At 44.0% G+C, this 13,379-nt stretch overlaps 1 long non-coding RNA gene across 1 annotated transcript in view, besides 2 other annotated features; it reads left to right on the top strand.

The window, feature by feature from the left end:
* Nucleotides 1-13,379, top strand: part of LOC124909381 (uncharacterized) — a 65,088-nt gene that overhangs the window by 30,979 nt on the left and 20,730 nt on the right. The window lies entirely within an intron of this gene.
* Nucleotides 4,066-4,588: an enhancer, noted in NCBI's record as "OCT4-NANOG-H3K27ac-H3K4me1 hESC enhancer chr3:54121903-54122425 (GRCh37/hg19 assembly coordinates)". NCBI's record gives its function as "activates a minimal SCP1, AML or CMV promoter by ChIP-STARR-seq in naive H9 embryonic stem cells {active_cell/tissue: H9 hESC(naive)}" and the evidence as "EXISTENCE:reporter gene assay evidence [ECO:0000049][PMID:30033119]".
* Nucleotides 4,589-5,112: an enhancer, noted in NCBI's record as "OCT4-NANOG-H3K27ac-H3K4me1 hESC enhancer chr3:54121379-54121902 (GRCh37/hg19 assembly coordinates)". NCBI's record gives its function as "activates a minimal SCP1, AML or CMV promoter by ChIP-STARR-seq in naive H9 embryonic stem cells {active_cell/tissue: H9 hESC(naive)}" and the evidence as "EXISTENCE:reporter gene assay evidence [ECO:0000049][PMID:30033119]".

Raw genomic sequence — 13,379 nt, 5'->3', positions numbered from 1 at the left:
TGCCTCAGCCGCGCACTACCACGCCCAGCTAATTTTTGTATTTTTAGTAGAGATGGGGTTTCACCATGTTGGCCAGGATGGTCTCAATCTCTTGACCTTGTGATCCCCCCGCCTCAGCCTCCCAAAGTGCTGGGATTACAGGTGTGAGTCATCGCACCTGGCCTAAGCCTATCTTGAAGTCAACTATGCCATATAACAAAACATAATCATGGGAGTGATAGCTTATCAATCAGTGAGTTCTGGGGAGTAGAGCTTGGAATCTTGGTTGTAGAATTCTGCCTACCACAGTCATTAAAATGGGGACAAAAGGAAAGGGTCTTCCAGGCTAAATGGAGGGCATAAGCAAAGACATAGGGAATGACAGGGCATTGGGTGAACAATTTGGGGAACAGTAGCACTGTATCCCCCTTTAATCCCTGCTGGGACCCCTTCTGCTTCTAACACCCCAACTAAAAACAGATAAAAGAAAGTGAGAAGATGAGAAAATAGAAATTAAATCATGCTAAGATTTCTAAATAATATTTCCCTTGGTTGTATCCTAATCATTAGTTTATGAAATGATGACTTAAGGATCTAAAGAAGTGCCATCACATTCTTTCCCAAGAGAGCAAGAGATAACATTCATTGGTCTACTGACAATGATATAATGATGTCAAAATATAGCCACTTTCTAGCTGTTCAAGTGGAAAAAAATTTAAATGGGAATTCCCAATGCTAACAGATAAAACTGATATTGTCAAAAATTGCAGCGTAAACAAGTACAACTCATTAAGAATATAATGTTGTAATATGCTAAAAAGAATAAAAATATTCATAGCCTTTGACCTCACTTTGAGGACATTATACCAAGGAGATAACCCAAAAGAATTTTTTGAATTATGCAATAAAAATACACTTTGCAGCAACATTTATATACCGTGGTTTTTTTGTTTGTTTGTTTTTTGTTTTGTTTGTTTGTTTGTTTGTTTTTTGAGACAGAGTCTTGCTCTGTTGCCCAGGCTGGAGTGCAGTGGTGCGATCTGGGCTCACTGCAAGCTCCGCCTCCCGGGTTCATGCCATTCTCCTGCCTCAGCCTCCCAAGTAGCTGGGACTACAGGTGCCCACCACCACGCCTGGCTAATTTTTTGTATTTTTTTTTGTAGTAGAGACGGGGTTTCACCGCGTTAGCCAGGATGGTCTCCATCTCCTGATCTTGTGATCCGCCCGCCTCGGCCTCCCAAAGTGCTGGAATTACAGGTGTGAGCCACTGCACCGGTCCTATATACTATGTTTTTAATCTAAATGTTCATAAATGAAAAATGGTTAAATTAGAGTCTCACCATTTAATGAAATAAGCATTTTAATTGTGAAGACTATAATGTAATACTGAAAAATGTGGATAATATTTTACATTTAAAAGTAAAATACAAAATCTTATCTATCCTACAATTACAACTGTGTAAAAAATTCTTCTGTCCATAAACAAGATTTGGGAGGAAACTTGAAAAATGAAAACAATTTGATTAAGATTGTGGATGAACTTTCCCTTTCACTTTGATTTATATTAATAGTGCCTTATGGTTGTTTGTGCAATAAGTAATAATGGTAGTAAGCTTTAGAAAAGTCATATATGAACTCCTAAAGACTCCGACTACTGTGAATGTCACTGCACTCTCACCAGTTTTAAAAGGACCAGGGACAGTTAATCAAACAAAATATAGATTACAAGTCAAGGCCGCTGTAAAATGAGCCCTCAATCTCTGAGCTCAGTTCTTGAAGCAGCCCTACAAAAGAGAATTACAAGTACATTTTCCTTCTATGCTGTTTTCATCTTATCTTAAGTAAATAAGCACCCGGTGGTATTGAAAATTGTATCCTCTGCCACCTGAAGCAATGAGGAATGTGAAAAGGTAAAGAGAATTGCAACAATTCACAATTCCTGCAAAGAGAAAAAAGTGGTTATTTGCAAGAGTGTGTCACAACGAAGAGAGTAAAACTCCTTAATCAAGCCTATTATCCAGAGAGTTATTAATTAAAAGGGGCTTTGTTTTTCGCTCATCGTTTGGTAATTCTGATTAAAAATATCTCTAAAAAGAATTCACATTCTAAACCTGAACTGGGCAGATATCATATTCAACTGCTGGAAAGTGACTTAAAAAGCAAACAAACCAAAAATCACAGCATTTAGCCAAAAGAGGAGATGAACTAAGCTGTCCCTCCTATTGTGTAGATTTCATTATTTGCAAATACACAACAGCATCTACCTCTTCTAAGATGAAAATTGTTTTAATTCTGTTTCACTGAGAATTGGCTCATTTTTATAATGAAACTTGCATTGCAGTGCCCTGAATCTCAAGTCCAGAAATCCACTAGAGGACCTGTTACGGTGGAGAGAAGATCAGTCTCCATTAAGGTTGGCGATTGATCAGGTAGCGTTGACCTGCCTCACCTCTGTGGGCTTCTAATTCCCTCTGGTTCCATTTTCATCAAAGAAGCAAACATTGTGAGGAAGTAGTTCTATTACCATACTTAAAATTCCTATACTAGTCAGCAGTACTCAGAAAAAAATCATGTCTCCTCCAGCTCTAGGGGATCTACTGCAAATCCTTTAAATTGTCATATTATCCTCTCATTTGCTTCTATTTTAGCAAAGCAAATGATTAAAAATTAAACTTTCATTTAGAAGCATAATTATTTTAAAGGGTGTCAGGGCTTCATGTTAAACAAATTTACCTCAGCAAATAGAATGAGGCTTTGGAATTTCGCTTGGAGAGTTAATGAAATAACCGTAATTTGGTTAGGTGAATCAACCTACATCATCTTATTTGAAGAGATTTCTCTCCTTATTTATTCAGTTGTCATGTATGTAGTTGTTACTTATTCTTTCAGTAAATATCTTAGCTGTGATTCTGACTGAATCAGAGAAACATTTTTGTTTCAAATCAGGAAGATAATTTTCTAGATACATGAAAACAAAAATTAATGTGATTTCCCTCAAAGAGAGTGGGAATTTATAAGTTTAAGAAGTAGTAATAGTACTAATCTGAATTTCTAAATCCTTAAAAATTCCCCATGGAACATAAAATTTTGTTCTGAATACTTGAGATAAATTAGTTTAGTGTTATGAGTTGGAAAAGGCCAATGCCTGGCCCAGTGCCTGAAAATCTTTAGGCTGAATGAATGAATGAATGAATGAACAAATGAACTGTCAACCTAAATAACAGAGAGAGGCTCTCTAAAAGAAAATGATATTTATTCAAGAACAAGTATTTGGGAATAGAGGGGCTTTTAGAGAATCTCTCTGTTTGTTACTTAGATTGACAATATGCTAATCTAGTCAACTGTCTAAGCAGTTGGGTACCACGGAGCTCATGGAGTCCAGGAGCTGGTGCAGAGGGAGGCCACTGGACATAGGTGTGATAAATACGCAATGGAAGTGCCACCTCTTTGTTTCTTCTACCTTAAGATTGTACCCCCACCACCAGCACAATAGGCCTACTCGATTTCATTGTGGGGAGGGAAAGATAAGGGAATGGTGGTGAGTAAGTCTACCCCTAAATGTATGGGTATGGACCAACAGTGTAGATGGAAGCCCATATATGTTATTTACAAGTGATAACCAAGCTACAGGAAGGTACGTGTTTTCACTGAGAGCTCTCCACTCACCCGCACAGCCCTCTTCCTACATGCCAAAGGAGTCCACTCTGTGCTCCAGCGCCAGCCCTTTGTCCTGTGAGCCCTGGCGGGAACAAGGGTACGCTGGGGCAGGGCAGGTGGGAGCCAGGCTGACTCCTCAGTTGTTCCTAGACTGGCCCAACAAGGGAACAATCTAGTCAACCTCTCCAGGCAGCTGGCAATAACTCTTATGCTGAAAGACCAGCCAACTGACGGCTGTCCCACCTTCCTCTCAGGGAGAGAACCATGCAACACCGCCAGCAGTCCTCGGCTGAGAAAGGCAGGTTAGAGAAGCTCAGCTCACCATGCAATCACCATGCAGCCACCATCAGAATGAGGTCCTCCCATCCAAACTGCATGGCTTGGAGTAAGGGAAGCAAAGTCCCGAGGGAAAAATCCAAGGGATGATCTCTGGGGAAGCGACAAGCACCCCACAACATTAGGTGTGCAACCGGGGCTACTCTTGACCTCCTGAGCCTCGGCCTCTTCACTCTGACCCCAGGGGCCGATGCCCTCACCTCTAAGAGGTTTGGGGAGGACTCCATGAGACGCCTTCAAGTCAGCACTCCAAGCCAGCACAGAGTGAGAGCTCCACAACCCTGAGCCTGGCGCGCTGTCGTGCTTGGGAAGAATGGGTTCTGTCCCAGAAGGCAAGAATAGTTAGTTTGAGGCTGGCTGAGGTCCCCTGGCGGAAGCCACCGACGTGGGGGTAGCCGTGGGGACGCTCAAAGGAAGGCTCCACGCTGCCGCCCAGGGGCCCGGGTGCGTCAGGGCTCCTCGGACCTCGGGCGAGCTCAGGCGGGCGGCGGCCTGGCCCGTGCCCGCTCCCCCACGCATCTGAACATGCCGGGCTCTGCTGGCTGGCCAGGATGGCAGAGAGAGCCGGCTGGTGCCCTCGGGGAGGGGCGGGACTCTCCCCGCAGGGTCCCAGATGGCTCGGGAAGAAAAGCCATCAACCAGGAAATGAAGAAAACAGCAGGTCAATTAGCGGCGGGCCTGTGATGCGAGGGGCCCCCGCGGCGGCGGGGACTGCGTGGGGCCACCCACCCTCAGCGTGCGGCCCGTAGGGTGTGCCGCTAGTCCTGCGATCCCAGGACCCCAGCCCCATGTCCCGGGGACTGGGAGCCGCCCGCGGACACACTGACTCTGGGCTGCTAAGACGCGCCTCTTCTCTGAGCTGCCTGCCAGGAGGTCACGGGCAGAGCGGCTGCGGATCTGGCTCCTTTTTATTTTTTAAGAACTCAGCGGTCTGGAGCTGGTCAGCCTGGTGCACGGCTCTTTTTCCCTTTCTTCTCAATGTTTTTCTCACTGTGGCCTCGTTTACCCCTGCCCCCACCGCTAAGTGCTTTTAGTCGGAGGAAAAATTGACCCGCAGAAATCACTGCATTTTGTACCCAAGACAGTATTTGAACTTCCTAATAGCCCTTCGAATCCCCTCAGGGCTCTGCTTCTAATAAACCAAACCTTCAAAGTGGAATAAAACAGTTTTCTCACCCTACCAACCTTCTTCATAATTAGCCTCAGCTAGAGGGTCCCACTTGGACTGTCTGGCTGACGGCTGTGCCGCCCAGGCCTGGAAACTGGGCCCTCAAGGACTGGTAGCAGAGAGAACAAAGGCGGAAACCGGCTGCCCCCACTGACCCTGGGCTGGGTGTTCTATAAAGCCATCCTGTGCCTATGGACTATTAAACCCATTTTACAGGAAGGGAAGTGAAGATCATGGGGACGGGTGATTCTCCCGAGGCCCTCTCCTTTGTAAGCTATAGAGTTAGGTCTGGAATCCTGGTCTATGGGTCTCTAAATGTTCTTATACCTCTTCCTGTGCCACATAAGATTCTCACTGGGTTATCAGCTATTTTAATCACTGCTGGATTTAGTGAAATCAGCTACAGAGCGTCTATGATTTTCACTCAGGGGCTATGTTAATCATTCACCCTTTATAGGCCACTTGTAGGCACTTACAGTTTCTGAAAGGCCACTGTAAGAATCATACTTCATTTAGTTGGCTCTCTGTGGTAGACTATGGCACTGGTAAATTTTCCTCAGACTAATACATCTGGGTGCTCTCTGGCATTCAAGGGGGTGCAACTTTCCATAGAAATGTATCTGTCCACCCTGACATCACACTGCTTTTAGCATCATAAAAGCATGTTTCCTTGCCTGTATTTTCTAGTGCAGATTTTCTCCTTTTCAGTGTCCTTGGGTTTAAAGCCTTCATAGAGCATAGTAATCTAAAGTCACAATGAAAATGTATATTTCCTTTTCAAATGTGAGAAATGAGAAAAGCCCTAATCATAGATTAATACTATAGAGTTTAAACTGGAGCGCTCTGTCCGAGTGAATTTACAGCAACATCTTTACCAATGCTCCAGTCTTCCCCCTGAAGAAAATGTTTTATTTTCCCAAGACCTGCTTATTATGTCAGACAAAAAATTCGCTTATTTCTTGAGCCACATTTCTCCTTTGTTTTGCCTTGATGGTGTGTGTAAAAACGAAATGTACTAATAAACAAATACCAAGAAATACCATAGAAGCAAGAAAAAAAAAAAGACTGACAATCCAAAGCTAAAAATTAAATTAAATTAAGACCCGTAACTTCTAGGCTGTAAGGAACAGGGCTTTCACCTCCCCAATGTTTAACAAGCATTTCTCACGTGCCAGGCCCTGTGCTAGGCACTGGTGAACAAACCACTGTCTGTGACGTCGCAAATCACAGAGTAGTGGGGAAGACATGCCTGAAGCCAATAGTTACAAGGTATTAATTAAGCCTTACAGAGAACTGTGAGGACATGTAACAGGAGGCTCTAAGCTAGCCTGGGGTGAAGGAAGTTTCCGGAAGGAAGACAGAGTCTTTGCTGAGTTGAAAAGGAGATTGCCAGTTAAGACAGGTGTTTTAGTCTGTTTTATGTTGCTTATAACAGAATGCCTGAAACTGAGTAATTTATAAAGAAAAGGAATTTATTTCTCACAGTTACAAAGCCTGAGAAGTCCTAGGTATAGGGGCTGCATCTGGTGAGGGTCTTCTTGCTGGCAGAGACTGCAGCGTCTCGAGGCAGTGCAGGGCATCACATGGTGAGGGGGCTAACTGTGCTAGCTGAAGTATCTTTTCCTTCTCTTATAAAGCCACTAGTCCTACTCCCAGGATAACTCATTAATCCACTAACCCATTAATCCATTCATTATGAGTGGATTAATTCATTTATGAGGGCACAGCCCTTATAAACCAATCACCTCTTAAAGTTCCCACCCCGAAATACTGCCATCTTGGGGATTAAATTTTAACATGAGTTTTGGAGGGGACAAACATTCAAACCAAACTGCTGGGCACAGTGGCTCGCACCTATAATCCCAGCACTTTGGGAGGCTGAGGTGGGAGGATCACTGGAGCCCAGGAGCTCGAGACCAGCCTGAGCAACATGGCAAAACACCGTCTCTACAAAAAATACAAAATTAGCTGGGCGTGGTGGTGCACACCTGTGGCCCCAGCTACTCAGGGGGCTAAGGTGGGAGGATCACCTGAATGCTAGGAGGTCAAAGCTACAGTGAGCCATGATCATGCCACTGCACTCCAGCCTGGGTGACAGAGCAAGATCCTATCTCAACCATAGCAGAGGGGCAAAGAGCTCTCAAGCAATGAAGAGTATGTGGGAGTATGTGGGCAGCAGGAGAGCCTGGCAGGCTGGAAGAACTGAAAAGATTCCAGAATGACCGATGAAAAAATATAGAGAACAGAGTGGTGCAAGGTGAGTTTGGAGAGGTCCCAGCCTATCAGTGGACATGACCTTTGCCTCAGAAACCTAGTCCAGTTGTGTAGACCACAGAGGCTAAGCTCCATGAGAACAAGGACCAAGCCTGCTTTTACTTGTTGTACTTGGCATACTTGCTAGCCCAGCACTAGTACATGGTAGGTTCTCATTAAACAGTGGCTATTTCTGCATTATTGTCACAAGTCTTTATTCATTTCTCCCACTTTCTCTCTATTTCTGTCCCTACCCTCTAACTAAATGTTGCACCTGTTTCTCTCACTGTCCTTTCCCTGGTTTAAAAGTCATGGATTAATCAGGTTTTTCTCTTCCTTCCATGTTCTTCCCTGTTCTTTCTTCCCATTTTGCCATATACTGTATTTAACAATTCCTTGCAATGCCACAGAGAAGGGAGAAATCATTAAGCCAGATCACTAAGGGGGAAAATAAACAAGGACACTCTTGCATCTTAAATCTTAATCCATTCACTCTAGGGTGGATCAAATCTGCACAGGGCTTTTGGGTATTTACACAACCAACTAACAAAGTGAGGAGGACTTTCTGCTTTAAATGGCAGGTAATTTATACCCAAAGAGTGTATTTTAATTCATCATTAAGCTCCTTTTCATTGATTATGATGCCAAAGCTTGAGGTGGCACATGGCAAATATGTGCCCTGAGTGCCAAATTGGTCCCTCTGGGACTGGAAAAGCATTTTAGAAACCATGCCTGAGGCTGATGTACGTATAATTTTGAGTCGTCAGAGCTTATCTCTCTACTGTGGCAGAATCACCAATAGTCTCGGCTTCTGAAAAAAAAAATTGGCATTCTTAACTCTCCAGACACTCATGCATATGTTGTATTTTGTTTTGTTTTGTTTCCAAGTAGTTTGGATACCGAGAGACCTTCCTAGAAACCTAATTAATAAGCAAATCATCCTGAGGGTTTATTTCAATTTGTTTATTTGCATTCCTCAGCCTTCTGGGACAGTCACCCTCTGCTTCAATACCCAACTAAAATGACTCACCTCATTGTCCCACAGTTGTTCCCAAGAGGTAAAGATGCAAGCTCCTGTTCCCTCTTGCTTTGAGTTTGTGCTCAGAGCTCGTCTCCAGCCCTTTCTCCTTAAGCATGAGCAAAGCCTCCCCCGTTTCCTTTCCCAAGCACCACCAATCCAAGGTTGTGTGTATAAAAGACCTTTACAAAATCTGGAGTAAACAGAGGGTAATTACAGCTCAGGGCTGTTGGGGGGAAACTTCAAGCTTAAAGCTTGACACGAATAGTTACTGAAAATTCATCACCTATCCTCTGACCAAGAGTGACTGTTGTAGTCTCCTTGGGCCCTTGGGTCACCAGCCCTATTTCTCTCCATTTCTAAGAGATTTTCTCCCTCTCTCTTGTTGTCCAGATCAGTTCTGCTATTCTCCTATAATTTACTAAGCAATGATAGACACTTTATATTCTCAAATATAAAGAAATAATTATTTCTTCCCTGTTGCACTTTTACTGGAGATGCTTCAAGAAGAAGAGCCTGTCGGCTGGGCACAGTGGCTTATGCCTATAATCCCAGAACTTTGGGAGGCCGAGGTGGGCAGATCACCTGAGGTCAGGAGTTCGAGACCAGCCTGGTCAAGACCAGCCTGGCCAACATGGTAAAACCCCATCTCTACTAAAAATACAAAGAAATTAGCCAGGCATGGTGGTGGGCGTCTGTAATCCCAGCTACTTGGGAGGCTGAGGCAGGAGAATCACTTAAACCAGGGACACTAGTTTGCAGTGAGCCGAGATTGTGCCTCTGCATTCCAGTCTGGGCAACAGAGCAAGGCTCTGTCTCAAAAAAAAAAAAAAAGAAGAAGAAGATGAGCCTGTCTCTAAAAGTCAAAACTACTATGTGTTCAGAAATTCATCTCCTCAGAGTCTTCCTGCCTCTCACCCAGACTGAAGTGCAATGGTGCGATCATAGCTCACTGCAATCTTGACCTCCTGGGCTCAAGTGATCCCCCCACCCTAGCCTCCCAAGTAGCTGGGACTACAGGTATGCACCACCTAAGTAATTTTTTTTGGTAGAGATGGGATCTCACTATGTTGCCCAGGCTGGTCTTGAACTCCTGGGCTCAAGCTATCCTCCTGCCTTGACCTCACAAAGTGCTGGGATGACAGGCATGAGCGACCACACCTGGCTGATACTTCTAACATAAAGAAATAGCCCTAAAACTACCATTTTATGAGCACTGTCTAGGTACCAGCTACGTAACAAGCCTTATTTCATTTAATCTTTATAACACCTGTATATGATTAGCATTATTCTCTTCATTTTACAGATTATCATCATCACAGAGCTAAAATTTATTGAGTGCTCACTATGCATCAAGCTCTATGTGAAGCACTTTTTATGGTCACCCTGCTGAATCCTCACAATTCTATGTAAAGTTACTGTTGCCATGCTGTTTCACAGAGGAAGAAACTGAGGCCGAGAGGAGAAATGATGGGTTAGCGTCATTCAGGCAATAATGGAGCCCAGGTCGCATGATTCCAAGGCCTGTGATTTTTCACACACCATAGAACTTCAACATGACTGAGCTCCTGGAATTTTAGGAACATCCCCTCAGAAGAAAGACCATGAGCAATGGTCTTTACGAACTATCTCTGAGCTAACCCAGGGCCTGTCTCAGAGAAGGACCTCGGTAATTAGGTGTTGAATGAACGAGGGATACTGGTTCTGGATTCTTCTGTAGAGACTTTCAGGAGCACCACTCCGGGTTGAGGTAGCTTGTTCCTCTCACTGGGTCTTCTCTTTGTTGTCATTCTGCATCCCCTGTGATGGTTCAGTTGAGGAAGTGCCCATCAATTAAGGAAAAGCATCCTTGCTGAGAGTGCAGCATTAAACTTTAATGGGGAGAAAGAGGGAAGAATAGTAATTGTGGCAAGAATAAAACTAGGCTTTTTTCTAACAAAACCCCTGCCAGTATCATCCATGATTGCCTAGGACTGTGGCTTGATGAAATGACCCTACTATCATTGAGAGACTTAGGAGCTCCCATTCCTTTCTCAAGTCAGCTGACAGGACCAGCAGTTTGATTCTCTCTCTGTTTCTCCACTATGTCAAGAACCTGGTGTCCTAAGCACTCAGAGGAACACTGGCCTGGGACTAAAGGGAAAAGGAGGTAATTCTCCTGAAACATGAGACTGGCAAAGTGATGTTCCTAGCCCCTCCAAACTTAGAGGCTAGGTTCATAGAGGGGGTACCTGCTATTCTGCTCTGATCCATGTCCAGGAGAAAGGTTTCTTTGTCAGGGAGTCTCTCTGGAAAGGGAACAGGAGAAATCAACATGACCCCTCACCTGACACTCCTATGCAAGTCTATATATCCCCATCCTTCAGATAGCAAAAAAAAAAAAAAAAAAAGGAAAAAGAAAAGAAAAATGATAACACCCAGTATTGGGGAGAGTAAATAGCAAAAGTCAGTCTGGCCACGTGTGCCACAGAGCTTTAGAAACGTGCATCTCATTTGACCCAGCAATTGCACTTCTAGGAATTTATCTGAAGGAAATGATTTCAAATGTGGACTATTTTAGCTATAAGGAGGTTCGTTCACAGCAGTGGTTTTATAATAGCATAAAACTGGAATAACCCTAAATGCCCAACAACAGAAAATTGGTTCCATTAATTTTACTTCATCACTACAATAACATATTCAGCACTCATTAAAACAATAATATACATCTCTATTTGTTGACATGGAAAGACATGGCATAATGTTAAAGTGGATTAACTTAAACATCAGAATTTTTCCATTTTTGTGTATGCGTGTGTGTGTGTGTGTGTGTGCATGCTCCTTAGAAGTGGTTATTTCTTGGTTATATGATTATGAGAGCTTGTTTCTTCTTTATACTTGAATGCATTCCATGAAAATTGTGTAAGCGTAGAAAACTTATAATCAGAAAAAAATTAACGATCATATTTCTGTTTCTTCAAAAAGGACTATTTATCAAGAAAATCAAAGACAAAGACAGATCCTAGGAGGTTCTCATTTAACCAAATGGATAGAAATCAGATCACTGTTGAACATCTAGTTGGAACTGACTTTGCCGCTCTACTCAAATGGTGAAGGCTTCCTTCTTCCAACAGACTGTGTGGCAGCATGAATTATGGGCAGGGATCTGTGACTGCTCAACTTTTCTCTGGAGGCCCTGCTCAGGGGTTCAGCTGTCCTGTTCCTCAGTGTCACATCTTCCACAAAGCCATTCACCCTTTAAGGATTCACTGAGCACTCATCCTGTGTCAGGTGCTGAGCTGAGCACCTGGGATTTGGAGGACAGGAAGACACAGTCCCACAATCAGAAGAGAAGCCTTTCCCTAGCCTTCTCTCAGAGCACTCCCCCAGAATCCCTTAGCCTATGATCTGCATCTCCTGGGCACCTTTCCTTTCCACCTTCTTTTACCTTTGTCTTCTACTTCCAGTCCTCTTACCACCAGGCCATCTGTCCCTTGAGGGCTGCCTCAGAATCTCCCACAGCATGTAACAGAATGAGTGGCACACAGCAGAAGCTCAATAAATATTTATGGAATGACTGGCTAAATGTAATTACTACCAGAGAAGCATATTTCCTTTATTTAGATTGACGTGAGTGTGATGTCTGATATCTTGCATCAGTTAGAACTCTTTTCAGATGTAAGTGACATAAAATGCAACCTTAACCATCTTAAGCAAAAAGGAGGATTTACTGTCTTCCATAACTGTGAAGTTTATAAGCAAGCTTCAATGGATCCAGGGGCTTAAACAATGCAGAACTTGGTCTCTCTCTATCTCTCAGCTTGACTTCTCTGTGCTGGCTCCATTCTCAGGCTCTTTCCTTGTGTAACCAAGATGGCTCATGACAGCTTGGGGCTTTCACAGACCCAAGTCTAGCAAGGGGAAGTGAGGGAGAGAAGGAGGAGTGGAGCGCATCTCTTTTGAAATCCAAGCGATGATCCCCAGATTGGCAAATTGGACCTGACTTCTTGGCGTGGGTTTTGTGAGCATCCTGAACCAATCACAGAGCCAGGAGCTACTGTGCCCTGACTGGCCAGGGTTGAGTTATGCGCCTAAGTCTGCAGCAGTTGGTGCACTCATAGTGAGGGAGGAGAGAAGGCTGGCTGCCCCAGACACAATCAGTGTGCTGTTACCAGAGAGACAGTGGGGATCCGGGGATATTGAGCTTCCCTGAACAGTCATTTCCCTGACAGAAAGCACATCTTGCCTAAGTTTCTTGGGCTAAAACTCAACCAATTTCCTTTAAGCATAAACATCTTGGTTTCTCCCCCTACCTAAGCCGCGGAACTGCACCCAAGCCCGCGTGGGGAAGATAGAACTGTCTCAGACTAAACCTCCCCAACTTTAGCCAAGTGTGGCCCGTGGATGTGTGTTTGCATCTCCCAGGGAAGTCATTCTCCACCAACCCCAGCTGCACACGGAGATCACTTGGAAGGAAGAGGGCATTTTAAAAGTAGATGCCTGGGTGTGCCTCCCCCATTCTTATTCAAATGTCAGTCTAGGTAGGACACCCCAGGTCACACAATCACCTCTGCTGTGAATTGTGGAGCAGCAAGGGGAACACAGCCTTGTTTTGCATTCAGAAAGAGCTGAGAGCAGAACCCTGATCTACCAGCTATTAACCCTACAACAGTGGGCAAGTTAGCTGTCTCGCTGAGACTAACTTTCCTGTCTATTAAATGGAAGTGATACGCTCTAGGTTGCAGGGATGCTATGATGATTAGAAATAAAGCAGGCAAAATTCTGGTCCCAGTAGGTGCTTAAAGATTCATAGATGCAGGTTCCAAACAAGACTGCCAAGGGGCTATCACTTCTCCCTGCAGAAGCAAAGCTTGCTTTGTTCTTGGCTAACTTGTTTTTCAAATGCCAGCCACTCATTCTACGCTTCACCAAGGAAGAACAGTTTGTCAGGATACTTAAATTAAGACATTCCTCTTAATATTTTCATAA

This window comes from Homo sapiens, chromosome 3 (genome assembly GCF_000001405.40).
Source record: "Homo sapiens chromosome 3, GRCh38.p14 Primary Assembly".
In the NCBI taxonomy this organism is placed as follows: Eukaryota; Metazoa; Chordata; class Mammalia; order Primates; family Hominidae; genus Homo; species Homo sapiens.
Note: the sequence above shows the minus strand (reverse complement) of the source record. Positions and strands in the feature narration are given on the sequence as shown.